General features: G+C 50.0%; 1 long non-coding RNA gene across 1 annotated transcript in view, besides 4 other annotated features; it reads right to left on the bottom strand.

Annotated features, from left to right (window-relative positions):
• Positions 2,259 to 2,308: a silencer, noted in NCBI's record as "silent region_10463". NCBI's record gives its function as "represses an Ori minimal core promoter by ATAC-STARR-seq in GM12878 lymphoblastoid cells {active_cell/tissue: GM12878}" and the evidence as "EXISTENCE:reporter gene assay evidence [ECO:0000049][PMID:35858748]".
• Positions 3,400 to 3,459: an enhancer, noted in NCBI's record as "active region_14408". NCBI's record gives its function as "activates an Ori minimal core promoter by ATAC-STARR-seq in GM12878 lymphoblastoid cells {active_cell/tissue: GM12878}" and the evidence as "EXISTENCE:reporter gene assay evidence [ECO:0000049][PMID:35858748]".
• Positions 5,216 to 5,265: an enhancer, noted in NCBI's record as "active region_14409". NCBI's record gives its function as "activates an Ori minimal core promoter by ATAC-STARR-seq in GM12878 lymphoblastoid cells {active_cell/tissue: GM12878}" and the evidence as "EXISTENCE:reporter gene assay evidence [ECO:0000049][PMID:35858748]".
• Positions 8,010 to 8,304: a silencer, noted in NCBI's record as "tiled region #12961; HepG2 Repressive non-DNase unmatched - State 23:Low, and K562 Repressive DNase matched - State 8:EnhW". NCBI's record gives its function as "represses a minimal TATA promoter and a strong SV40 promoter by Sharpr-MPRA in HepG2 and K562 cells {active_cell/tissue: HepG2 | K562}" and the evidence as "EXISTENCE:reporter gene assay evidence [ECO:0000049][PMID:27701403]".
• LOC105372353 (uncharacterized) overlaps positions 11,404 to 26,826 on the bottom strand; it is a 35,060-nt gene continuing 19,637 nt past the window's right edge. The window contains exons 5-7 of the long non-coding RNA XR_935896.3: positions 26,470 to 26,617; positions 11,842 to 12,157; positions 11,404 to 11,731 (exon numbers count right to left, since the gene is read on the bottom strand). This is a non-coding gene — a long non-coding RNA (uncharacterized LOC105372353). The remainder of the gene's footprint in view (positions 11,732 to 11,841; positions 12,158 to 26,469; positions 26,618 to 26,826) is intronic.

Raw genomic sequence — 26,826 nt, forward strand, 5'->3', positions numbered from 1 at the left:
CCCTGGGCTCAGGCAGGCAGGAGGAGAGGCCGGAAGGGGTATATGGCTGCCAGGAGTGGAGAGATGGCAGAGATGCTGGAAAAGCCCTAATCCATGGGGCAGGAGGTGGAGTTCTGCTGATCCATTCACGCAGTTCTGAAGTCTTGGGGACCTTGGTGCCGCCATCTGTCAAGTGGGGCCATTAGACTAGACCCAGCGTTCCTGGAATGGCATCCTGGAACTTCCCATATCAGAGTTAGTGGGTGCACATTCAGAGCAGCCAGACCCTGGGCTGCACCTCAGACCTACTGAATCAGCCTCTGGCGGCGGGACCCAGATAGCTGTGTGTTTACCTAAGACCCCAGCTGATCACTGATGTTTGAGGACGCTGGGCTCCAGATGGTGTCTAAAGTCTCTTCCAGCTCTGAGGTCTGGACTGTGATTTCAGACTTGGGACTCTCAGGCCAACGTTTTCTGGAGGCTGGGAAAGATCATCAAATGACTGATCTCCCAGGTTCCAAAGAGTAAACAGGAACATCCCTCCACAAAGCCGTAAATTCTGGTAAAAAAGCTCGCTTTCTGGACAATGGCTTTAGCTTTAATTTAGTTTGCATTTCTTAGCTATAATGTCTAATTAAGACATCTGTTAAATGTCTACAATATTAATAGAAGGGGTTCTAATAGAACTGTATTGGAATTGTCCATTTAATTAACCTCGTGAGCCTTTAATGGATGTCTTAAATAGACATCATTAACAAGAGTGCTAGACAAATTAAAATTAGAGTCAATAACATTCTTGGTAATTTTTCCTGAGCTGTAAAGGACAAGCCTTGCTAACTAGACAGGCGCAGAGATAGGCTGTGTTCACAGGAGGGTGGGCGCTGCTGTCCTAGAGGGCATCTGAAATGGACAGGCCCCAAGTGGGATTCAGCTATTCTGTGTCTTGGTCCACTTTGCCCATAAAAGATAACCTCCAGCCATAGGAGGCAGGTCTCAGGAGCAAAGACCTGCCCTTCCCTATGCCTTTTACAGAAAACGTTTGCTGGGCCAGGCGTGGTGGCTCACGTGAGCCTATAATCCCAGCACTTTGGGAGACTGAGGCAAGAGGATTGCTTGAGTCTGGGAGTTTGAGACCAGCCTGGGCAACATAGCAAGACCCCATGTCTACAAAAAAAAATTTAAAAGTTGAGCTACACATGGTGGCATATGCCTATAATCCCAGCTACTCAGGAGGCTGAGGTGGGAAGATCACTTGAGCCCAAGAGGTTGAGGTTGCAGTAAGCCATGATTGTGCCACTGCACTCCAGCCTGGATGACAGATGAGACCCTATCTCTAAAAAAAAACAAGAAAGAAAGAAAAAGAAAAAGTGGCCTGATCCATCAGAGCTCCTGGAGGAGGGACTGGCTTAGGAGGGAGATGGAGGAGGATATAGGACCTCACCCAGAGACTCACAAAACGCCAGATAGATGCACAGACTGGGTGAAATGCAACAGACTGGGATAGGGAAGGATTTCCTGGGACAGGCCGGGAGCAGGATGAAATGGAAAACATTCCATTCTTTTGCCTCCACCGCCCCACTAAGCCACTCTCACTCAAGTGACTGCGTCTCTCCAGAGCCAGTGGTCGGTTCTCCGCCTCTGCCTTGCCTGGCCTCTCATCGGCATTTAACAGGTCATCCCTTCCTTCCTCCTGGAACACCTCTTATCCCCACACTCCCAACTTTCCTCCTGCCTCCCTGGCTACTCCCTCTCACTGTCCTTTGGGAGCTCCTCTGCAGAACTTCTCAGTGTTAGAATGCCCTGAGCTCTGCCTTTGGACTTCTTTCCCCATTCCCTCCATAGCTGTCTCGTCCACCACTTCAGATCCACCAGACCCACATGTGTAACTTGGTTTACCATCTGCCTCCTGCCAGCTAGAACGGAAGTTCCTAAGGACAGGACTGTTTTCCTCACTGCCATACCCTCACTCATCCAGAGTGTATCTGACTGTATTCAGTGTTCTGTGACTGTTGAGGAAATGAGAAAGCTGCCCACCAGGCTCCACCTGGAGATCTAACAGGCAGCCCAGCATGGTGGGCTGCACACAGCATGACGGACTTCCCTTCTCTTCCCTTCCTTCCACCCGCGCTTCTGCGGAGGCCCCTCGCCTCTTGGATGCTCACACGGGAAACCAAGGAGCCATCCTGATTCCTCCCTTGCTTTCACGCCCCCACCAACCTTTCATCACGACATGGTGGCCCTCCTTGCAACCCTCCCACCACCTGCTGCTCCAGCCCCCTTCCACCCACCTGCCAGCACCCAGCCACAGCCACAGCCCCCCGCTGGCCTCCCTGCATCCACGCCTGGCCTCACTGTAGCCCGGGTGACCTTTGTGAAACATGACTCGGGGTGCCTCTCCCGCTGAAAACCCACAAGCGACTTCCTGCTGCACGCAGAATGAGAGCCAGCCCCTGATCGGCATCATCAAGGCCCTTCCAGATCAGACCCCAGCCCACCCCTGCCATCGTGGTCCACCTTCCCGCTGCACCCTGTGCCTCTCTACACCCCCAAGCATGCGATTGTCCCCGTGCACATCTGTGCCTGCCATTCCTTCCTCTCGAGCTTTCTCCTGACCCCTCAATCTGCAGGCAGCCTCCCTGCGTTCAGCTCTGCACACAGGGAAGGCCCCATCATCCTAGCTCTGCAGCCCCCACCCCAACCAGTCACTCTGTCACATTACTCTGTCTGATATTTCCTTTTCCTTTTTTTTTGAGACAGGGTCTCGCTCTGTCACCCAGGCTGGAGTGCAGTGGTGTGATCATAGCTCACTTCAGCCTCAACCTCCCTGACTTAAGCGATCCTCGCACCTCAACCCCTCAAGTAGATGGGACCAGAGGTACATGCCACCATGCCTGGCTAATTTTTGTTTGCTTGTTTTTTTGAAGAGCTGGGGGTCTTGCTGTGTTGCCCAGGCTGGTCTCAAACTCCTGGCCTTAAGCAATCCTCCTGCCTCAGCCTCCCGAAGCGCTAGAATTACAAGCGCGAGCCACTGCATCCAGCAGTCTTATGTTTTGTGTACCACTTCTCAGTCCCCAGTGCAACCATATCTGCCTGTTTCATATCATTTTCTTCCACTGGAATGTGAGCTGCTCGGACGCTGGGACACTGCCCATGGTGTTCGCCGCCATAACCATTGTAAGCCCCCTGCAGGGGAGAACACTGCCTTGCATATAATAAGTGCTCAGTAAATATTTGTTTTCTGACCCAAAAAGAAAAAATGAGCCCAGGATGTGCCTCTAATAATGTTGAATAAGGGTTGGCACACAGCAACTGCAAGTGGTGCTGGTCAGTGACCCCTGTCTGGGCCAGATGAGCCCGTGTGGCTTGCCCAGGGCAGGGCAGCTGCACATCCTGAGTCCAACGTGCCACCCCCCCTTCCTTGTCGGTGGGCACCCCTGGTAGCAGGAGCCGCGGGTGAGAAGGCAGCCCTGTGCCACTGGGCCCTGGCACCCCAGCTATGCAGACCGAGGAGGTTATGCTCCATCAACAGCTGTGACGTGCAGCAAGTGTGGCCCGCGCTTCTCTGCCCCTTTCAGTTTCCCCCATGAAGCCCCAGGGTCTGGCGGGAGCAGCTATGGCTGGCGCTGCATAGCCTGGCCTGGAGAGGCTGAGCCCAGCAGGAAACCCGAGTCAGGAAACCCAAGTTCAAGGCCCAAGTTCCCCGAGACCTTCGGTTCCAACCACAGAGAACGTGAAGAAAGGGAGTGTGGTGTTTATTGCAGGCACATTTAATCTACACAAATTAAACTGTATCCTCTACCAAAAGAGAGGGAGGGAGGGGAGGAAAGAGAAAGGACGCTGTAGAGAGTGCTGCCAGTGGCTCTGTCCTGCCTGTAGAGTGCTGCCAGTGGAGGCTCGCCTTGCAGCGAATGTGAGACGGAAAGCATCCTCAGTTGCCCTGCTCTCCCAAAAAAGTGTGCGATTATAATGCTTTGTATAAAAAAACACAGGCCCCAAACAGGTGCTGTGCCACAGGGGCTTGTGCTGGCTCATGAGAGCTGATGTGTGCACCTCCTGCAGACGGCACATTCATGCCGGCACCCTGCAACCCTCATGGTGGGAACATTTACACAGCAATTTACACTATGCTACAAACCAGGGCTTGTTACACATGTACCAGCATCCCATCACTGCCCTAAATGCAAGCTGGCTGCTCTGTGTGCAGAACAGGCTGTGTTAAGTCATCTTTAGGGGGCTACCTAGCCCCATGGAAGATGGGGCTCCGTGGCCTGGGAGCTGGAGACAGAGCGCTTGCTGGCTAAGGCAGGGGAGATTGCAAACAGAGGATGTGTGTTTTCTCAGGGCATATGTTATACTTCAATTTAAAATGTTTGTAGAAGAACCATTTGGACTATTATGTGGGTGCTTAATAAATATCTGAAATCATTTGAGCATCTCTCCAGCAGTCTCATTTCTTAATGGTAATGCCAGGCCAGGCATGATGGCTCATGTCTGTAATCTCAGCACTTTGGGAGGCCGAGGCGGGTGGATCACTTGAGGTTAGGAGTTCAAGGCTAGCCTGGCCAACATGGTGAAACCCGGTCTCTACTAAAAATACAAAAACAAGCTGGGCGTGGTGGCAGGCACCTGTAATCCCAGCTACTCAAGAGGCTGAGGCAGGAGGATTGCTTGAACCCAGGAGGCGGAGGTTGCAGTGAGCTGAGATAGCACCATTGCACTCCAGCATGGGGGACAGATCGAGACTCTGTCTCAAAAAAAATAAAAATGGTAATGCCCAGGTTACCCTAAGTGGCTCTTGCTTGAAAAATCACAGATTTAAAGCAAGGAAACCCACATTCCTAAGAAATGCAGTATGTCACCAAACTCACAATTTTAACAGCTCCCTCCTTTCAAAATACGGGCTCTTCCGCTACCCCAGAACTCCAGGGACCAAGTGCTCTGCAGCCCTGTCACTAGGGCGTGGTTGCCACAGCCCTCCTGGTCCCGCCCTGTGAGGTTTCCAATTGAGTAGTGAGAGAGTGAGTGGTGATGACAGGACCCTGGGGCCACAGGGTGCGGTGGGAGGGGAACAGGGCCTGTGGCAGAGGCCCCTGGCAGGTCTGAAAGTAGGCTGGCTTCCCTCAGGACCTGAACTTAAGACAAGCCGGAGGGCTGAGCTGGAGTCAGGCAGGCTGAGGCCTCCTGCAGAGGAGCTGGGGTAGGAAGTGGGGCCTGCAGGGGCATGGCGCTGAGGAGGCTGGAGGCTTCAGGCACCAGGCAGGGCAGCAGGAAGTGAGGAAGACTGGCAGTGAACTGGAGAGGCCAAGGGCCGGAAGACCAGCTAGGAGGTTGTGGCCGGTGCTAGACGTCTGCAGCTTAACCAGGGTGTCGGCCTTGGGGATGCACGGAAACAGGTTTGAGAGGTGCACACAGCACCCACGAACAGGGCCTCAGGGACACAGCCCCTCCAGCCTCGGTCTGGGTGTCTACTCACAGCCCAGTGCCCTGAAGGGTGGCAGCCCCACTAGGCGAGTGGAGATGGCTCCAGCCGTCCAAGCTGCTGAACAAGGGGCTGTGGACAAGGCCAGCGTGGCCAAGGAGGCAGGGGCTGCAGCTGAGGTCTTCTCAGGGGAAAAGGGAGCAGGCAGGTGGGGAGACACCCTTGGGCAGACAGAAATAAGGAGGAAGATGGCAGAGCTGGGTCGCAGGGGTGGGGAGCCGTGTGGGCATACCTCCGGGTGTTGGGCAGGCTGCAGCCTTGTCTGGCTTAGCTTTGTGAGTTCAGTCAAGGGTGAGCCTCCACCCATGCCTTGGCGTCCTCATCTGTAAAATGAGCATCAGGAATAAAGCACAGCCAATAAAGTTTGTGTGTGTGGTATCACCCAAAAACTCAGAGGGTTCTGACAGAATACAGTACCATCTTCCAAACATAGGGGTCGGGCATTCTCCCAAACTGTCCCCTTGGGCCAGGTGTGGTGCCTTATGCCTTTAATCCCAGCACTTTGGAAGGCTGAGGCAGGAGGATCACTTAAGCCTGGGAGGTTGAGGCTGTAGTGAGCTGTGATTGCACCACTGCACTCCAGCCTGGGTGACAGAGCAAGACCCTGTCTCTGAAAAAAAAAAAAAAAGAAAACCCACCCACCTGTCCCCTCCATGGCTGCATTCTCAGTAGGACCCCAGAATACCCCCAGGTAGTCAGCACTGGTGGCTGGCTGAGGACACTGAGATGAATTATCCCCGGATCACATGGCCAGTGGGTGAGTCACATGGCAAGTCCCCTCTCACCAAATCAGCTATTCTTCCAGAACTTGAGGAAGACTTCCTTTCACCATAAATGTAAAGCCCCGTTGCCTGCCAGGGTGGGAACAGGACTATTTTTTGCATGGCATGAACCCCTGCCAGCTCCTGCCTCCTGGCGGTGCTTGCCGCAGAATTTACAGAATAAAATAACTATTGAACACCCTATTATCCGGCTGCCTAATTAATGTAAATGATAGTTATGGTCCCCACACCGTGGCATATGTTTCTCGGAGGAGGCCCTGCCAGCCGCCTGGGCCCCATTCCAGGGGTTTTTATGGTAGCAGCCCCATTCTGGCTCCATTGAGTAAAAGGTAAGTTGTGGCCCTAAATAATGAAGACAGAAGAGCTAATGGGCTCGGTGAAGAAGGGCAGCTCAGGCGCTGGTCTCCGAATCAGGTGACAGACCCTGCACTAATGTGGCAGGCCAGGTCTCACTAACGCAGGCCTCTGTAACACCTGTTTCAGCATTGACTGAGTGGCGAAGTTAAATATTAAAAGCTGATAGAGCCAGTGCCCTATACAAAGGCTGGAGTGTAACAAAAGCCCACCAGGAGTTTTGCCCAGGCCTTTCCTGGGCCTTGAAGCATGACAAAGTAACAAAGGAATTAACAGGACCCATTTTAAGATTAAACAAGTTGTATCGGAGGCCTGAAGAAACTCCCCAGACCTCCACAAACAAGTTTACTGGGGATCTGAAGGAACTCCCCAAACCTCCATAATTTAGCAGGAGACAAAATAAGGGTAATCGCCCCAGCACCTGGACCCATTTAGATTAAGTAAATTTACTGAGGCTTCAGAGGAAGATCTTCAGGACTCAGATCTTAGTTCTAGATTAAAAGAAGTTGGGCTGGGCGCGGTGGCTCACGCCTCTAATCCCAGCACTTTGGGAGGCCGAGGTGGGTGGATCACGAGGTCAAGAGTTCGAAACCAGCCTGGCCAACATGGTAAAACTCCGTCTCTCCTAAGAATACAAAAATTAGCTGGTGTGGTGGCGTGCGCCTGTAATCCCAACTACTCAGGAGGCTGAGGCAGGAGAATCACTTGAACCCGGGAGGCGGAGGTTGCAGTGAGCTGAGATTGCACCACTGCACTCCAGCCTGGGTAACAGAGCAAGACTCCGTCTCAAAAAATAAATAAATAAGTTAATCACTTATGTCTTTAGATGAATGTACACTTACACATAAACATATAGCTTAGAAGGTATATAAACTCTGAAACCCGAATTTTGAGTTGGTCTGGTGACATTTCCTAGGCCTTCTTCCCCATAACTGGTTACAGAAATAAAAACTCCCTTCCTCCCCAGTTCATCTGCATCTCGTTACTGGGCCGTGAGAAATAGCAGCCCAACCCTCAATTTGGCCTGGAAACGCTAATAGACGGGGTCTTTCCTTGCAGACCCGAGTGCTCCACGGACCCCCGGTGCAACAGTCCCTAGGACTCTGGAACAGAGACACAGAGGAGGTGTTTCTCCCAGAGCGCTATACACAGAATAAAATCCTATGAGGCCCATGTGGCCTGGCCCCTGCCCTCCTCCAGCCTCACCTCATGCCAGGCAGCTGCCTCCTCTCCTCTGGCTCCCAGCGAGTGGCCCATCCTGGCCAGTCTTGCCCTGGCCTTCCCTAGTTTTAGCACAAACCAGAGCAGCTGGTCACCCTACTCCAGCCCCACCAGCTAGGCTTGGTCTCAGGGCATGGGCCCAGGATGGTCTTCCCCATTCTATGTGTCTTAGTGCACTGGGGCTGTTATAACAAAAATACCAAAGACTAGATGATGGATAAAGAATAGAAATTTATTATTCACAGTCCTGGAAGCTGGGAAGTCCAAGATCAAGGTTCTGGCAGATTTGGTGTCTATCAAGGGCTCCTTCCTCATAGACACGTCTCTTCTCACTGTGTCCCCACTGGGTGTGGCACACTGGGTGTGGCAGAAGGGATAAGAGAGCTCTCGGCCGAGCGTGGTGGCTCACGTCTATAATTCCAACACTTTGGGAGGCTGAGGCGGGTGGATCACCTGAGGTCAGGAGTTCGAGACCAGCCAGGCCAACATGATGAAACCCTATCTCTACTAAAAATACAAAAATTAGCCGGGAGTGGTGGGTGTGCCTGCGGTCTCAGCTACTTAGGAAGCTGAGGCAGGAGAATTGCTTAAACCTGGGAGGCAGAGGTTTCAGTGAGCCAAGATTGCCCCATTTCACTCCAGCCTAGGTGACAAGAGCAAAACTCCATCTAAAAATAAATAAATAAAATAAAATAAAGAGAGCTCTCTGTGGCCACATTTTTTTTTTTTTTTTGAGACAGAGTCTCACTCTGTTGCCCAGGCTAGAGTACAGAGATGCAATCTTGGCTCACTGCAACCTCTGCTTCCTGGGTTCCTGGGTTCAAGCGATTCTTGTGCCTCAGCCTCCCGAATAGCTGGGATTATGGGCATGCACCACCACACCTAGCTAATTTCGGTATTTTCTGTGGTGATGGGGTTTCGCCATGTTGCCCAGGCTGCTCTCAAACTCCTGACCTCAAGTGATCCGCCCACCTCGGCCTCCCAAAGTGTTGAGATTACAGGTGTGAGCCACTGCTCCCGGTCTGGCCTCTTTTATAGGGCGTTAATCCCTATAAACACTCCATCCTCAGGACCTAATCCCATCCCACAGCCCCCGCCTCTTAACAGCCTCACATTGGGCATTTGGTTCAATATATGAATTGGTGGTGGACACAAAATATTAAGTCGATAGCAGACTGTTAGCTCCTCAGGGGGCAGACCGATGTTTTAGGCCTTCCCAGACCACCCTAAGTCCACCAGTCACCATCTCCACAGTGCTGGAGAGAGAAGCTGACTCTGCATGGCTGGTCTGCTTCCGTCCTGTGGGAGGAGGCTGGGCCCTGCGTTGGCCGCCCACCCCAGCCCTCCCTCTGTCACAGTAGCACTTGCAGGAAGAGGTGGGGCTGGCCTTTCTTAGAAAGAGCCTGTGTCCAAGGCCAGGCACAGTGGCTCACGCCTGTAATCCCAGCACTTTGGGAGGCCGAGGTGGGCGGATCACCTGAGGTCAGGAGTTCAAGGCCAGCCTGGCCAACATGGCAAAACACCATCTCTACTAAAAATACAAAAAGAAGCCAGGCCTGGTGGTGGGCACCTGTAATCCCAGCTACTCGGGAGGTTAAGGCAGGAGAATCACTTGAACCCAGGAGGTGGAGGTTGCAGTAAGCTGGGACTGTGCCACTGCACTCTAGCCTGAGACAGAGTGTCCCTCTAGACAGAGGGAGACTCCATCTCAAAAAAAATAAAAATGAAAATAAAGCCAACAAAAAAGAAATAACCTATGTTCAACTCGGTGCTGCTCAATCCTGGCTACCTGTTACAATCACCTAGGGAGTTTTAAGAACACCAAAGCCCAGACTTCACCTCCCAAAGTTAATCCAGAATCCCTGGGGTGGGGCCTTGCCATCAGTATATACATATATAGACAGAGAGAGGGACAGGGTCTCACTCTGTCACCCAGGCTGGAGTGCAGTGGCGTGATCTCGGCTCACTGCAACCTAATCTTCCCGGGTTCAAGCGATTCTCGTGCCTCAGCCTCCCAAATAGCTGGGATTACAGGCATGTGCCACTACACCCAGCTAGTTTTTGTATTTTTAGTAGAGACGGGGTTTCGTCATGTTGCCCAGGCTGGTCTCAAACTCCTGACCTCAGGTGACCTGCCTGCCTCAGCCTCCCAAAGCGCTGGGATTACAGGTGTGAGCCACCGTGCCTGGCCAGCATCATATATTATCGGTGTATTTTTAATCTACGTGGCCTAGGGCAAGTCACCTCTGGGAGCCAGAGCTTCCTTGCTGTAGAATGAGGAGTATCCACCCTGTGCTGTGGGAGTAATGGGGGCCGGGCACAGGGTAAACACGTGCCATTTGCTGTCCTGGTGCTTTCTGTTGTTGAATGGACAGTTCAGAACCTCCAGAAATCACCCTGAGAATCTCAGGCTTTGTAACAGCAGTGTCTCACCCAGGTCTCCGAGGTGACCACGGCCACTCACAGGGCTGCAGGCTAGGCCAGGTGCCCCTCCACCAAGGACCCAGACACCAGGAGCCTGGATTTGCCACCACTTTCTATGCTGTGTTATAAACACAAACATGTGTCTGCCTCCTTGACTATAAGCTCTGATGAATTCGCCCCTGAGTCCCAGGCTCAGCGCAAAGGCCAGCTCGATGCAGGGGCTCGGAGAATGAGTAAGTGAATCAGTGAATGTGCCCGCAGCTGGTGTGATCAGGAACTTTTGGGTCATTTCAGGGCCGTCTCTGGGGCAGGATGGTGCTTCTGAGAAGGGTCCCTGGACCAACCCACCCAGGAGCCATCACAGGCCAGGTTTCTGTCCCAGCATGCCTTGCAGGGTGTGCCTCGGACTCACATTTCCATAGAAATGAAAAGTAAAATACCAAAGTGCATCGCACATGTGTCAGGTCGCTTCTATTTCCTCACATTTTATTTTAATTATATGTGAAAAATGGAGGTCTTGGCCAGGCGCGGTGGATCATGCCTGTAATCCCAGCACTTTGGGAGGCCAAACTGGATGGATCGGCTGAGGCCAGGAGTTCAAGACCAGCCTGGCCAACATGGTGAAACCCCATCACTTCTAAATGTACAAAAATTAGCCAGGCTAATTTTACAGGAACTTGTAATCCCAGCTACTCGGGAGGCCGAGGCAGAAGAATTGCTTGAACCTGGGAGGTGGAGGTTGCAGTGAGCTGAGATCATGCCATTGCACTCCAGCCTGGGTGACAAGAGCAAGACTCCATTTCAAAAAAAAAAAAAAGAAAAAGAAAAAAGAAAAATGAAGGTCTCTAGACAGCAAGGGGACTGCACTGGTCTATTCCAGGAAGCTCTGCAACAGCACCAGGCCTGAGGGACAGTGACAGGTAGATAAATAGAAAAATGCTGCTTAGGAGCAGGGTTGCAAGCCCACAGGATCAGATTGTCAAGTTTGGAGCTGAACTCCAGCCTAGGGGTATTTTTTGTTTTTTCATTTTCTTTTGAGACAGGGCCTGGCTCTGTTGCTCAACCTGGAGCGCAGTGACCCAATCATGGCTCACTGCAGCCTCAAACTCCTGGGCTCAAGCAATCCACCCTCCTCAGTCTCCCAAGTAGCTGGGACTACAGGCACACCTGGAAAATTATTTTATTTTTGTTAAAGAGGAGGTCTCTGTTGTGCAGGCTGTTCTCAAACCCCTGGGTTCAAGCGATCCTTCCACCTTTGTTTCCCAAAGCGCTGGGTTTACAGGTGTGAGTCACTGTGGCTGGCCCCAGCCCAGGTTTTCCTACTCCACTGCCTTGTACCTGGCTCACCCCCCTCTATAGAAGCCCATGATCTCTTCTGGTTCAGGAGCACCATGGTGGTGTGTGGCTTCTCTACACTGTGGTCCCATGTGGACACGTCTCAGAGCTGCCACTCCAGGAGACACTGACTTTGGCCTGTGGCCATCGAGTGCATCTGTTGGAAGGATTTTGTTTGCAAGTGACATAGAACCGAATGTAAACTGGCTAAACAAAAAGGGAATTCAATGAACCCCGTAATTGAAGGGTCAGAATAGAAAGTGCTACCTTCAGGAATGGTTTGATCCAGAGGATGAAACAGCATTCCAAGACTGCTTATTTCTCTCCATATCTGGCTCTGTGTTGCCTCCTTGCTCAGCAGGTTCTCTCTTCATAGTGGCAAGATGGTAGCCCCAGCCTCACATTCTCTCAGGCTAGCTGACAGCTGGCTGGGGAAAAGAGAAATGTTTTCTCCCGGTAGCCCTTCCTCCAGTGTCAGAATTTCTTCATGCTGGTTGGATCTTTATGATCAGTTCCGCATTCCTGCACTGCTGCTGGAGCCCCAGGGCACTGATTGGCCACATCTGCATCATAGGCTTCTGTTCTGGAAACAGAGTTCTGGAAAGTGAGTGTCAGGAAGGAGGCTGTTCCTCTAAAGGAAATCAAGGTACTTTTTTTTTTTTTGAGGTGGGGTCTCACTCTGTTTCCCAGGCTGGAGTGCAATGGCGTCATCTTGGCTTGCTGCAACCTCCGCCTCACAGGTTCAAGCAATCCTCATGCCTCAGCCTCCCAAGTAGCTGGAACTACAGGTGTGCACCACCATGCCTGGCTAATTTTTTTGTATTTTCAGTAGAGATGGGGTTTCACCACGTTGGCCAGGCTGGTCTCGAACTCCTAGCCTCAAGTGATCCATCCACCTCAGCCTCCCAAAGTGCTGGGATTACAGGTGTGAGCCACTGCACCGAGCCAAGGTGCTATTTTTTAAAAGGAGGGAGCTGGATGCTGGGTGGCAATAATAATAATAATGTATCCATTCCTCTGAGCTCCTGAAGTAACAGGTGCAGCCTAATGAGGGGTCCTTGGGGAGGATTGGTATTGTGTGGACCCACATGAGCTGCAGCTGCATTTCCCAGCATGTCCTTCCCTATGCAGTTCCCAGTTCGCATGGGTTGGGCCACAAGAGACATTCCCTGAGATTTGGGAGGCGGAAGTGACGCAGCAGCCATCTTCTCAGCATTCTGGAGGTCCAAGGCCTCCCTGGTACTCTGGGAGACTGCATAAAACACCCATTCCATGATCCCATCTGAGGTGAAGGAGTTGGGGTATTGATCCACCAGTGCCACTTGGTAGGGGCCATCCCAGAAGGTGTTAATCCCCTGGCATTTCCTGATGACCATGAGGTAGGCACAGTTGCACACTGGAGCTTTGCAGAATGCCCTCAGGTAAAAAGATGCAGAAACTTTAATTTGCAGGCTATGGGCAGGGCACCAGCAGTGCCTCCTACAGAGCACTGATTAAGTCACTACTGAGTGCTCTACAGGTAACCCCTTCAAATCTTAGCAACAGCTTCAAGAGGCAATTAGGAACATCCAGATTCACCCGTGAGCCTCAGGAGCTTGTCCCCCCCTGGGAAGATGGAACAGTAGGGATTTGAACCCAGGATGTCTGAGCCACTGCTTTCCCCAACAAAACTACACAAATTCAGTGGGGTCATTCCAGGCCACCACCAGGCCCTGCTAACTCCTCAAAGAAGAAAAGCCAGGCTGGGCGCAGTGGCTCACACCTGTAATCCCAGCACTTTGGGAGGCCGAGGTGGGTGGATCGCCTGAGGTCAGGAGTTTGAGAGCAGCCTGGCCAATATGGTGAAATCCCATCTCTACTAAAAATACAAAAATTACCTGGGCCTGGTGGTGGGCACCTGTAATCCCAGCTACTCAGGAGGCTGAGACAGGAGAATTTCTTGAACCTGGGAGGCGGAAGTTGCAGTGAGCTGAGATCACGCCACTGCACTCCAGCCTGTGCAACAGAGCGAGACTCCATCTTAAAAAAAAAAAAAGAAGAAGAAGAAGAAGAAAAGCCGAGAGACCCCTGGACCACCTGCCTTTCTGTGGTCACCCTCTGGGAGTCCCTGCTCCGGTACCCTTTGGGTGCCCACCGTGATCAACAGTCAAGTCCTCCCCTTCTGCGACAGTGGCTTTTTGCAGTCTCTTCTCTGGAATGTTTTTCTGCAGATACTAATGAATGACCCTTCAATTTCCCAGGAAGGGCTGCCTTTTTTTGAAGTGGTTTAAGATCTCTGCTCTTGATTGCAATCTTCCAAGAGCTGATTTTGGCCACTTGGCTCTCATTTCTGAAGTGATGATGGGGATGAGAGGGGAGGAAAGCAAGTGGAAGAAAAGTGTGTGGGCTCAGCTAGTCTATAGGAATTGTAATCCCAGGAGACAATTGAGAATTCTAAAAATAGAGAAAAGAACTGTTTTCTTTTCAGCTCTGTGAACAAGTTATCCCTGGTTTGTACCCCAATATCAGCCACACTCATCTTGCACAAATCATGACTTCTCATGTAAAGGTTTGCTACTTTTTCCCAGTGGTTTTTCATAATTTCAAACAAAATTATTTCTAGAAGACTCATCACTTATTTTTAATATTAAAGTCTGTAGGATGGCCGAGCGTGGTAGTTCACACCTGTAATCCCAGCACTTTGGGAGGCCAAGGCAGGCAGATCATTTGAAGCCAGGAGTTCAAGACCAGCATGGCCAACATGACAAAACCCATCTCTACTAAAAATAAAAACTAAAAAAATCAGCCAAGCGTGGTGGCACGCACCTATAATCCCAGGTACTTGGGAGGCTGAGGCACGAAAACTGCTTGAACCTGGGAGGTGGAGGTTGCAGTGAGCTGAGATTGTGCCACTATACTCCAGCCTGGGCAACAGAGTGAGGCTTTGTCTCAAAAAAAAGAAAAGAAGAAGAAAAAACGCTATGGGAAGCTGGCTATGGTGTGCACCTGTGGTCCCCACTACTCAGGAGGCTGAGGTGGGAGGATTGCTTGAGCCCAGGAGTTCCAGGCTGAAGTTAGCCATGACTGTGCCACTGCACTCCAGCCTGGATGACAGAATGAGACCCTATCTCTAAAAAAAAAAAAAAAATTTAAGTCTATTAGAAAATGTGACTTGAGTTGGACAATTTCATAGCACATGTAATTTTTAAGAAGTCCTTGCTTCTAAATAGCATATACCTAGATAAAGGCATAATTGAAAAGTGGAAAATAAAAGAATATATCAGCCAAAAATCTCACTGTGTATTTCTAGTTTGACTTAAAAAATGTATTATCCAACATAAAAGTTAAGAACTTAAAAATTAAAAACTTTTTTTTTATCAAAACACTGCCTTAAGTGAGAGAAAAGTCAAGCCATAGAGTGGGACAAGATATTTACAATATACATATCCAACAATCAATTCATATCCAGAATCTATTTTTTAAAGTCTTACAAATCAATAAGGAAAAAGCAGATAAGTCAATGGAAAAATGAGCAAAAAGATGCAAATGGACAATAAACGTAGGAAGAGAAGCTCAACCTCATTTGTCATTAAAGAAATTCTATTTAATCACCTGTCAAGTCAACTCAAAAAAATAAAAAAGAAAAAAAATTATAACCAAAACCACATTACATTATTATAAACCCACAAAAACAGCTAAAACGAAAAGGAAAAACAATGCAAGGGCTAGCAAGAATTTGGAGCAACTGAAAGCCTCATACCCTGTGGGTGGACTGGCAAATTGGTACAACCACTTTGGAAAACTATAGCAGTATCTATGAGAGCAAAGACATGCATTACCTCTGGCCCAGCAATTCTGCTCTCAGATATTTACCCATCAGAAACAGGTCCCTATGTTCACCCAAAGACATGGGCCAGAATGTTCCTAGAGCATTATTAGTCGTGTCCCATGTAAAGTGCCTGGATGTTCAGCCTGGACATATAGACAAATGGAGTGTAGTTCATTTATGAATGGAAATTGATAATGGAATATTCACAAACAGAAATCCATACAGCCATGTGAATGAACAAGCTATTGCCTCACCAACAATGTGGACAGTTCTCACAAACACAGCATGGACAGAAAGAAGACAGACACACAAAAATACACACTCAATGGTCCCATACACATAAAGTTCAAAAATGCGTGGCATGGTAAAGGGAGGCAGAGAGTGGTAATCCCCAGGGAGCTGATGCTGGGGAGAGTGCCTGAGGGAGGCCTCCTGGGCGGGTCAGAAGGCTCTGCTTCTTCCTCTGTGCATGGATCTATGCACATTTTAAAGATAAATAAATACAAAACCGTACTGCCTTTAAGGCCTCTTCTGCTAACCTGGAAAGCCCAGCTGGGTTAGTCCGGGGGGGGTGCAAGAAAAGAAGCCCTAACTTGCAATTCAGAGCCAGGAATCACACTTATGGCCACCCTGTGTCTGACCTTAATGAGAGAGGCTGTGGCTTTAGGTCCTTAGCAGCTCATCTCAGGAAAGAGAACTTGTTGTCCTGTGTCCCAGCTATCTTGTCACACCTGGGCTCTCACGCAGCTCCTGCTCCAGCTCAGTTTGTTCCCTAGGTCAGAGCTTTGGTGACTGTCACCCAGGCCCCTGTCCAAGTTCTGGCCTCATGGCACTAATCCCCCACGTAGCCAGTGGCTAGCTGTGCAACCTAGAGCCAGTTAGAAATGTGGCTTAAGGTGATCTGAATCCTTCCAGAACATTAGCCCTGCCCCCTGTGGAGTCCCTGAGAAGAGAAATGCCCCACGAGTGACAAAGAAGGCAAAGTATCTCCTCACTGTGTGCTGGAGTCAGGCCCCAGGCCCTGGCACAGAGAGCTCTGATCCACCAAGCCAGAAGACCTAGGGCCCAGTGGAGGCCAGGGCAAGTGCCTGCCTGGGGTGTGAGTGTCTTCCACACCATGCAGGATTCCCTTCAGGTCCTGGGGAACTGTCAACAGAGCGGAGGAGCTCCTATTCACCCACAGACACACACACACCCCGTAACACACACACAAGTGCACACCCATACACATCTGCAGGCATAGATACAGGTCTGCTCATACACACATGCACACACGTACACGAATATCCTTTACACTAGACACACATGTGCTCACAGACACCCTTGCAATGGTGTGCATGCACACACGCATGCACTTAGAGATGCACACACACTCACGTAGCACTTGCCAGACACTATTCTGAGCACTTTCCATATATTAACTAATTTAATCCTTATAACCACTCCATGAGGTCCAGATATCAATCCCACTTTGCAGATAAGAAAATTGAGGCCCAGAGAGGTTAAGTCACTTGTTCAGAGTAATGCATTTGAAGCCTGGCAGCTTGGCCTTAGAGTATGTACCTTTTTTTTCTTTTTTTCTTTTGAGTCTCGCTCTGTCGCCCAGGCTAGAGTGCAGTGGCGCCATCTCAGCTCATTGCAAGCTCCAACTCCCAGGTTCAGATTCTCCCACCTCAGACTCCTGAGTAGCTGGAACTATGGGAGCCCACCAACACGCCCTGCTAATTTTTGTATTTTTAGTAGAGGCAAAGTTTCACCATGCTTGCCAGGTGAAACTCCTGACCTCAAGTGATCCACCTGCCTCGGCCTCCCAAACTGCTCGGATTACAGGCATGAGCCACTCATACCTGGCTGAGTATGTGGTTTTCTATGCGAATCTCCATTCACAGACAAATGCACAAAGACACTTGGGCCTTTGGACACACACACTCCCACATGCATGTACACACATGCACAGACACATGTGCACACTTGCGATCAACCCTCCCACACATATAAGCACACACACTTCTTTCTGCTGCCTCCCCCCTCACTTCCTGGCCTCTCTGCCTCCCACTGACTCCTGGTAGAAGGAGTGAGAGCCCCTCTCCCCCCGGCCTTGCCAGGCAGCTGGGACTCCTGGCTCCTTGTCTGAAACAAACCCAGGGCCAGCACTGTCTTCCTCGTGCCCTGCAAGTGGGAGGGAAGCCCCAGCTCATCCAGCTCTGTTGGCTACTCTGGTTCCCTCATCACCTTGTGAGACAAATAAGACCTGTTCTCCGTGTTCAATGGGGAAACTGAGGCCCGGAAGGAAAAACGAGTGGCCCAAAGTCACCCTGAGTCATGGCAGGGCTGGGCTGTGGGTATGCAGGCCCCTGGTCCCAGGCCAGGCTCTCCTAGGGCTCAGACGATACCTTTGAAGAGCCAAGCAGGGGTGGGTGCAGCCCAGAGAAGTGGGCCTCCCTCTGACTCTCTGGCCTTAGGCACTAAAGCCTTCCCCAGGAGCCCAGAAAGATAAGTGCCTTTCTACCTGGCAAGGCCCCAGTGGGAGTGGTGGCATTCTGAAGGGGCTGTCACAACTCTCAGCAGTCATGCTAAAGCCCCAGGTCAGGGGCTGAGGGATGACTTCCTGCCTGACGTGCCCCTCTGCCACATCCCTCCCTCTCTAAGAGTTCCCCAGGGTCTGGCCCCACGGGAAGACTTTCTATTTCACACCAGCCTAACCCCAAGTGGCACAGCGGCCGGCACAGCGACTGGGGCCATACATCTCAGCTTCCACTCCTGAGTTCTGGACTTCTCCCACACCCTTTGTGTGGCTGGAGGTTTTATGAGAAGGCCAAAAAAGAAAAAAGAAAAAAATGAAAAACAAAAAAAAATAAATTACTTGGGAATTTGTTTTTAATTAAGCAATAAGCCTCGATGGGGCTTGGCTGCTGCCTCATAAAACTGCTCCCGGGGTGTGGGGAGGCATTTGGTCCAGATGAGTGCCTCAAATCAGCCCGGAATGTGATGAGATGATTACTCCCCGGAGTTCGTACAAGATGAGCTTCTCCAGTGCTGTCTTATTGCTATTATAAAAAGTCTGCAGGCAGTGGGGGAGAAAAGCTGTGGTGCTGCTTGGAGAAGAAGAAAACACCAATGCTGGCTGTCAGGGCCAGAGCTCAGCCCCCCACCCTTCCTTCACCACATCTGCTCACATGGCGGAACCCATGGGTGGCCCACAATGGAATGGAGGCTGACATCCTTAACAAAAAATGGGTCCCCGTACACAGCGAATGGGATGTTTCAGCAGAGACACAAACAAGAAGGATGCGAGGGACCCTTACTTGGAGATATTTTCTCCTGTCCTGCCAGGAGCAAGCAACCACGCTCACTCCCAGGGCAGCTCAATTCATCTCACTAATGCTACAACCTACAAGCATGCATGGCTAGGAATTCTGAGGCTTCTCTCTCTCTCTCTCTCTCCCCCCGTCCTGCCCCCAGTCAGCTTACCAGGGGAAGGAATTTTTGCTTTCTGGGTCATGCGCTGGCCTAGCCTTCACTGTGCTAGGTCTGGATAATAAATGAAGGAAAAAGAAAACCCAAGACACTAGAGAGGTGAAATTGACCTACGTAATAAAACGGCTGAGATGGAACAAGATGAGAAGGTAAGGAAATGGTAAGCCGCCCTGGCTGAGCACTGGGGAGAATTTGGGAAACTGGGAGACAAGAATGGCGAAGAAAAGGAGTCTCGAAGATCCGTCACCATCAGCTAGGAGGATGGAACAAGCAGATGGAGAGGAAGGAGTTTTAAACATTTGCTGAGCCTTAAGAATATATGTTTTCTTGTGGCATTTCTTCAAGAAACAGAGTACAGACTTATAAATACTTTCAATTATTTTGTGATGTAGATCGATCCTTCTCTGACTATGATACACACAGGGACTAGGCTATTTGAGACCCTGGTTATATTTGAATTAAATTAGCAAGCATGGGCCGGGCCCGGTGGCTCACGCCTGTAATCCCAACCCTTTGGGAGGCCGAGGCGGGGGGATCACCTGAGGTTGGGAGTTTGAGACCAGCCTGACCAACATGGAGAAACCCCGTCTCTACTAAAAATACAACATTAGCCGGGCATGGTGGCACATGCCTGTAATCCCAGGTACTAGGGAGCCTGAGGCAGGAGAATCACTTGAACCCAGGAGGTGGAGGTTGTGGTGAGCCGAGAGAGATCACACCACTGCACTCCAGCCTGGGCAACAAGAGCAAAACTCTGTCTCAAAAAGAAAAAATCTAGCAAGCATAAAGACAGGAGTAGGAAGATTTAGGGAATGCAGGAGGGTAAGGGGGTAAGGGATAGAAACCCCTATGAAAAGCTAAGGGCCGGGCGCAGTGGCTCATGTCTATAATCCCAGATAATCTGGAAGCGGAAGCGGAAGGATCACTTGAAGCCAGGAGTTCAAGACCAGCCTGGGCAACATAGCAAGACCCCTGTCTCTACAAAAAATATCAGTTATCCAGGTGTGATGGCACACACCTGTGGTCCCAGCTACTTGGGAGCCTGAGGCAGGAGGATTGCTTGAGTTCGAGGCTGCAGTGAACTATGATTGCGCCACTGCACTCCAGCCTGGCAACAGAGCAAGACTCTGTCTCTCTAAAAAAAAAAAAAAAAAAGAATTTGAGATGATGTCCAGACAAAGACAGAACATGAATGAATGACCATATAGGAACTTGCCAGAGAGAAGCAGACGTGCCCCAGGTAAGGTGAGGCCTGGTTCATGCACATGAACAGCCCAGGGCAAGTGCTCTAGAGTCAGACAGCCCAGATGCGAGTGTCAGCTCTGCCACTTGGGAAAGTCCTTAAAACTCTTCTCATCTGCGAAGAGATCAACCATGAGATTGGTCATAGAACTAACTTCACCGGGATGTTGTAAGGCTTGAGTGCACTGTCTATGGAAGCACTTAGCACACTGCCTAGCACATCGCAAATGCCCGGTAAGTGACTGGTATTGCTACTTGAGTGGAAAAAACACAAACTATTTTTCCTCTGCTCTCCCCCACGATAATCAACACAGAAGACTGACCAAATATGAGGGGGTTTTCCCCGCACACCCAGAAAGCAATCGGTCCTGCAGCGGACGCTAACAGGGTGTCCTTTACTTCAATTCTGACACCATCTACCTGGAGATCCCACAGGTGAGGGGTCCATCCCCAACACTGCCTCCACTTCTGGGGCCAATTGCAAACTCCAGTTATTCTTCCTGTGCTGCTGCCCTGCTGACTATAAATCGGGGTTCCCACAACCCCTTCCTGGGGTTCAATTAATTTGCCAGAGCAGCTCACAGAACCCAGGGAAACACATTCACCAGTTTATCACACAGGCTATTGTAAAAGAATAAACAGCCAGATGAAGGGGTATGTACAGCCAGGCTGGGAAGGGTCCCCAAGCACAGGAGCTTCTGTTCCCGTGGAGTTGGGAGCACCACCCTCCCAGCTCATGAATGCACAGTATTAATGAATATATAGAATATCAGCTTTCAATTAAGCTGACTTCTGCCCGTAGAGCTCTTTAAAAAAAAAAAAACTTTTCAGAGCTCAGGCACAGTGGCTCATGCCTGTAATCCCAGCACTTTGGGAGGCTGAGGCAGGTGGATCACTTGAGGTCAGGAGTTCCAGACCAGCCTGGCCAACACGATGAAGCCTCGTCACTACTGAAAATACAAAAATTAGCTGGGCGGGGTGGTGGGCACCTGTAATCCCAGCTACTCGGGAGGCTGAGGCAGGAGAATAGCTTGAATCCGGGAGGCGGAGGTTGCGGTGAGCCGAGGTGGCGCCTTTGCTCTCCAGCCTGGGCCACAGACAGAGCGAGAGTCTGTCTCAAAAACAACAACAACAAAACAAACAAACAAAAACGTTTCAGGTCAGGCACGGTGGCTCACTTCTGTAATCCCAGTGTTAGTAGTGGAAGTTATCCGTGTTCCCCAAAATATGTTACCGGCGGCGAATCCGTACGGGTCTGCAGCAGCCTCAATTCTTGCCTCCCCAGCAGAAAGAATTCGAATGAGGGGCGGAAGGCAGAAGAAAAGACCAAAGCAAGTTTCAGAGCAGGAGTGGAAGTTTATTAGAGCAGGAACAAAAGTAAAGAAAGTACACTTGGAAGAGGCCCAAGCAGGCGACTTGAAGGACAAGTGCGGGGTTTCACCTTTTGACTTGGGGTCTTACACGTCGGCATACCTGTGGGGTCTTACAGCACTTCTCCCCTGATGTTGCCGGTGGGTTGGGCTGTCCACAGGCACCGTGGCCTGCTAGCGCTTGGGAGAGGAGCATGCGCAGTGTGTTTACTGGAGTTGTACGCATGCTCACTTGAGGCGTTCTCCCCATAATCTAGCCTTCCTAGGCGAAGGCCATAGACCAGTTAAACACCACCATTTTGCCTCTTAATGTGCGTGATTGAGCCCAGCTGCCCAACTCCTGAGATTTTTTTTTTTTTTTTTTTTAATGATGGGGGATTTCCAATCCGCCGTGCTGACTCTTTTTTCTTTCTTTCTTTCTTTTTTTTTTAAGAACGGAGTCTCTCACTGTCGCCCAGGCTGGAGTGCAGTGGCGTGATCTCGGCTCACTGCAACCTCGACCTCCCGGCTTCAAGCGATTCTCTTGCCTCAGCCTCCCGAGTAGCTGGGACTACAGGCACATGCCAGCACGCCTGGCTATTTTTTTGTATTTTTAGTAGAGATGGGTTTCACCGTGTTAGTCAGGTTGGTCTTGATATCCTGACCTCGTGATCTGCCCACCTCCCAAGGTGCTGGGATTACAGGCGTGAGCCACTGCGCCCGGCCCCAACTTCTGGGATCTTATCGAGAAGCTGCTGATGACCAGCTTCAGGTTTTTTCTATCTATAGGGAGACCGCCTTTCCCTGGCACTGGCTGCGACCAATTATTATTTTAGAGAGACAGTGTAACAACTGCCTGACCATCACCTGATGATCGCCTGACATTCCTGGTGGGGTGGGGTCCTCTTTTGCCCTGCCATCCACTGTAACACCCAGCACTGTGGGAGGCCAAGGTGGGAGGATCACTTGAGCCCAGGAGTTCAAGACGAGCCTGGACAAGAAGGTGAGACCTCCATCTCTTAAATAAAGAAAGAAAGAAAACTTTTCAAATTTCTAATTATCAGTTTTTACCCAAGACAAATTCCTGGCTTTTTCACTTTTTTACCAAAGGTACCCTCCTACTTCACAAGATCCAGAACCACCCCAAAAGACATCTCAAAGAAAAGAAACGGCTGGGGACAGTGGCTAATGCCTGAAATCCCAGCACTTTGGGAGGCCGAGGTGGGAGGACTGCTTGAGCCCAGGAGTTCGAGACCAGCCTGAGCAATATAGGGAGACCTCATCTCTACAAAAAAAAAAAATTAAAATTAGCTGAGCGTGGTGGTGTACACCTTTGGTCCCAGCGACTTGGGAGGCTGAGGTGGGAGGATCACTTAAGCCCAAGAGGTGGAGGCTGCAGTGAGCCATGAGTCTGCCATTACAATCCATACTGGGCAACAGAGCAAGACGCTGTCAGAAAAGGAAGAAAGAGAAGCAGAAGAGGAGGAGGAGGAGGAGAAAAGAAGAAGGAGGTGAAGGAGGAGGAAAGAAGAAAAAGAGGAAGAAGAGGAAGAGGAGGAAGCAGAAGAAGTGGAAGAAGAAGATGGAGGAGGAGAAAGAGGAGGAGAAGGAGAAGGAGGGGAAAGAAAGGAGAGTTTTGGTAGCTGTTAGGGTCTCAGCTTCTCAGCTAACCATCTACACACAAAGGCTCTAAAGTCCCGTATCTCCCCACAGACAGGAAATCAAAAGCTATCTGTGGAAAAGGATCAATAACAAATGGATACCCCCAAAGTCAAAGGTCATACAAATGTCAAACTAAAAGGGACTGATTCCCTAACTGGAAAGCAAATCCAGGCCATGGCAGAGGGAGCATGGAATTTTAGCTAAACTACAAGGTGGAGCAGCCTTCACTGTGAGTCCCACAGGGGACCCACCGTGGGTGGTTTAGCAGACAAAGGATTGTAACTTTGTTTTAAGTGAGATTTTTACTCTTTAATTGAGCTGAGAGAGTTGCTAAGGCTAGCCGTGACACTATATTCTTCCTTTCATTTAATCTTCCCATAAATACAAATAAAGCAATTGTTTAGAATGAGAGATCTCTAATTTTTTTAAGATTTAGGAGTTTTTCTCATTGAAAGGATCCATCTTTTGGCCACTAATGAGAATTTCCTAGGGTGTACTTCTTCCGATAGTGACTCAATCCAATAGCCTCTTCATGGAAACCCCAGGGTGTGATTTTCCAGGTTTAAAACAAGTTGTTTCCTGGAGAAGGCAATATCAAAGATTTCCTCCAAAAAAATTCACTCCTAGGAATAGTCTAACATAGAAAAAGACTCTTTTTTTTTTTTTTTTCCTGTGAGCCAGCATCTTGTTCTGTCACCAGGCTGGAGTATGGTGGCATGATCATAGCTCACTGCAGCCTCAAACTCCAGGGCTTAAGTGATCCTCCCACCTCAGCCTTCCAAGTAGCTGAGGCCACAAGTGTGTACCACCATGCCTGGCTAATTTTTTTTACATTTTGTAGAGTCAGGATCTTGCTATGTTGCCCAGGCTGGTCTCAAACTCCTAGCCTCAAGTGATCCTCCCACCTCTGCCATCCGAAGTGCTGGGATTAGAGGCATGAGCCACCATACATAACCACAAAAGACTCTTGTTGCCACAGATGGTTAAGGATGATGTTTGCACGTAAGATGCCTCCAGTAACCCACAAATTTGTGGAGAGCCACCAGACACAAACTCGTTAATCTGTGAAACCAGGCAGGCCCTCCTAGGATTGGGTTTTCCCAGGACTAACGAGGCAACAAGGGTTGAGACAACAGAAGTCACCTAGGATGAGATCTCTTTTTTTTTTTTTTTGGTGGTGGGGGGTGCAGGGGGGAACAGGGTCTCCCTCTGTCACCCAGGCTGGAGTGCAGTGGCTCAATCTCAGCTCACTGCAGCCTCCACCTCCCAGTTTCAAGTGATTCTCATCCCTCAGCCTCCCATGTAGCTGGGATCACAGGTGTGCAATACCACGACCAGCTAATTTTTGTATTTTTAGTAGAAACGGGGTTTCGCTATGTTGGCCAGGCTGGTCTCGAACTCCTGGCCTCCAGTGATCTGCCCACCTCGGCCTCCCAAAGTGCTGGGATTACAGGCATGAGCCACCGTGCCCAGCCAGGATGGGATCTCTTAAGATAAACTTTCCTGAGAGCTTGACACATTCAGAACAAGATATGTGCTGCTTAAAATCTTAACATGTCTCGGACTTCCAGCCATTTTCAGACTGGCCACCTGACATGACCTATTAATATCAGTCCCCAGAGGCAGAGACAAGAGAGTGTTCCCACTTGGTCATAAGTCAAGCTCTCAAGAACATAAAACAAGATGAGAAGGAACCTCATCTGGTTTTTATTTTGGGGACCAACAGTGAAGTTTATATTCCAGCCCAACCAGAAAAACAAACTGACCAGTCTGCAGGGCTGGCTGGAACAACCAGCTTGAGAGCGTTCTGCATTGTGTCCCCCACATTGGCAGAGCGACATTTGAACCAGAGTGACTCCATCTTGAATAGGCTCTCTAGGTAAAATAAGGCTGAGACCTACTGGGCTGCATTCCCAGGAGGTTAAGGCATTCATAATCACAGGATGAGACAGGAGGTCGGCAAAAGATACAGGTCACAAAGTACTTGCTGATAAAACAGCATGCAGGCCGGGCGCAGTGGCTCACACCTATAATCCCAGCACTTTGGGAGGCCAAGGCAGGCGGATCACCTGAGGTCAGGAGTTCGAGACCAGCCTGATCAACATGGTAAAACCCCGTCTCTACTATAAAATACAAAATTCAGCCGGGCGTAGTGGCAGCCACCTGTAATCCCAGCTACTCGGGAGGCAGAGGTAGGAGGATCGCTTGAACCCGGGAGGCAGAAGTTGCAGTGAGCCGAGATCGAGCCATTGCATTCCAGCCTGGGCCGCAGAGCAAGACTCCGTCTCAAAAACAAAACAAAACAAAACACCAGCATGCAGTAAAGAAGCCGGCCAAATCCCACAAAACCAAGATGGCAATGAAGGTGGCCTCTGGTCTTCCTCACTGCTCATTATACGCTAGGTATAATGCATTAGCATGCTAAAAGACACTCCCACCAGCACCATGATGGTTTACAGATGCCATGGCAACGTCAGGAAGTTACCCTATATGGTCTAAAAAGGGAAGGTGCCCTCAGCTCCGGGAATTACCCAGGCCTTTCCTAGAAAACTCATGAATAACCCACCCCTTGTTTAGCATATAATCAAGAAATAACATAAAAATAGGCAACCAGCAGCCCTCCGTACTGCCCTGCCTACGGAGTAACAATTCTTTATTCCTTTACTTTCTTTTCCTTTCTTTCTTTTTTTTTTTTTTTGAGACAGAGTTTCGTTCTTGTCACCCAGGATGGAGTGCACTGGCGTGCTCTCAGCTCACTGCAACCTCCACCTCCCAGGTTTGAGCGATTCTCCTGCCTCAGCCTCCTGAGTAGCTAGGATTACAGGCACCTGCCACCATGCCCGGCTAATTTTTGTATTTTTAGTAGAGATGGGGTCACCATGTTGGCCAAGGTGATCTTGAACTCCTGGCCTCAAGTAATCCACCCGCCTCCCAAAGTGCTGGGATTACAGGCATGAGCCACCACGCCCGGCCTTATTCCTTTACTTTCTTAATTACTTTCACTTTACTCTATGGATTCATCTTGAATTCTTTCTTGCGCGAGATCCAAGAACCCTCTCTTGGGGTCTGGATCGGGACCGCTTTCCGGTAACACTATGGGACCCCTTGTTATGACAGAGCAACAAAAAAAGACAAAAACAAAGGAAAGGACTATTTCTGGGAGGAAAAAAGATCAAACAATAGTAATATTCCTACCAAAAAGTACACCAGAGTTGCCACACCCAAGACTAGCCACACAAATCCTTTTCTCCCATCAATCAAAATTTTGCAGAGAGAAAAACGACAGTCATTTTTACTATTTGCTTGACTGGATTTTACAGAGAGAGGCTGGGAGCCCGGCTGGTAAGAAATTCTTACCCTTCTGCCAGTTTGTCAGGTCCTGGGTTTCCTTCACTGCAGCTCCCAGGAGAGCAGAATGGTGTCAGTCTCCTGCTCACAGTGCCAAAACTGTAGGGGCCGAGGGACAATTTCTCCTTCTCCCTCTGAAGGTTTGCTGGAAAATCAACTGAACAAGGCAGATTAATTAGAGAAAAGGCATGCACATGTATTAACATGCACGCGGAGGAGAACCACAGAGTGATTATCCTACCCACCGTGCTGTACAGAAGCTTATATGCCATGTTGGGGTTACAGAAAAAACAGGCAGAGGGGGCACTCAGAGCACGTCCAAAAATGGCTTATGGCAGCAAATCAGGTTATAGCGGCAAATCAGGT

The sequence above is a fragment of the Homo sapiens genome, chromosome 19, assembly GCF_000001405.40.
Source record: "Homo sapiens chromosome 19, GRCh38.p14 Primary Assembly".
NCBI lineage: Eukaryota > Metazoa > Chordata > Mammalia > Primates > Hominidae > Homo > Homo sapiens.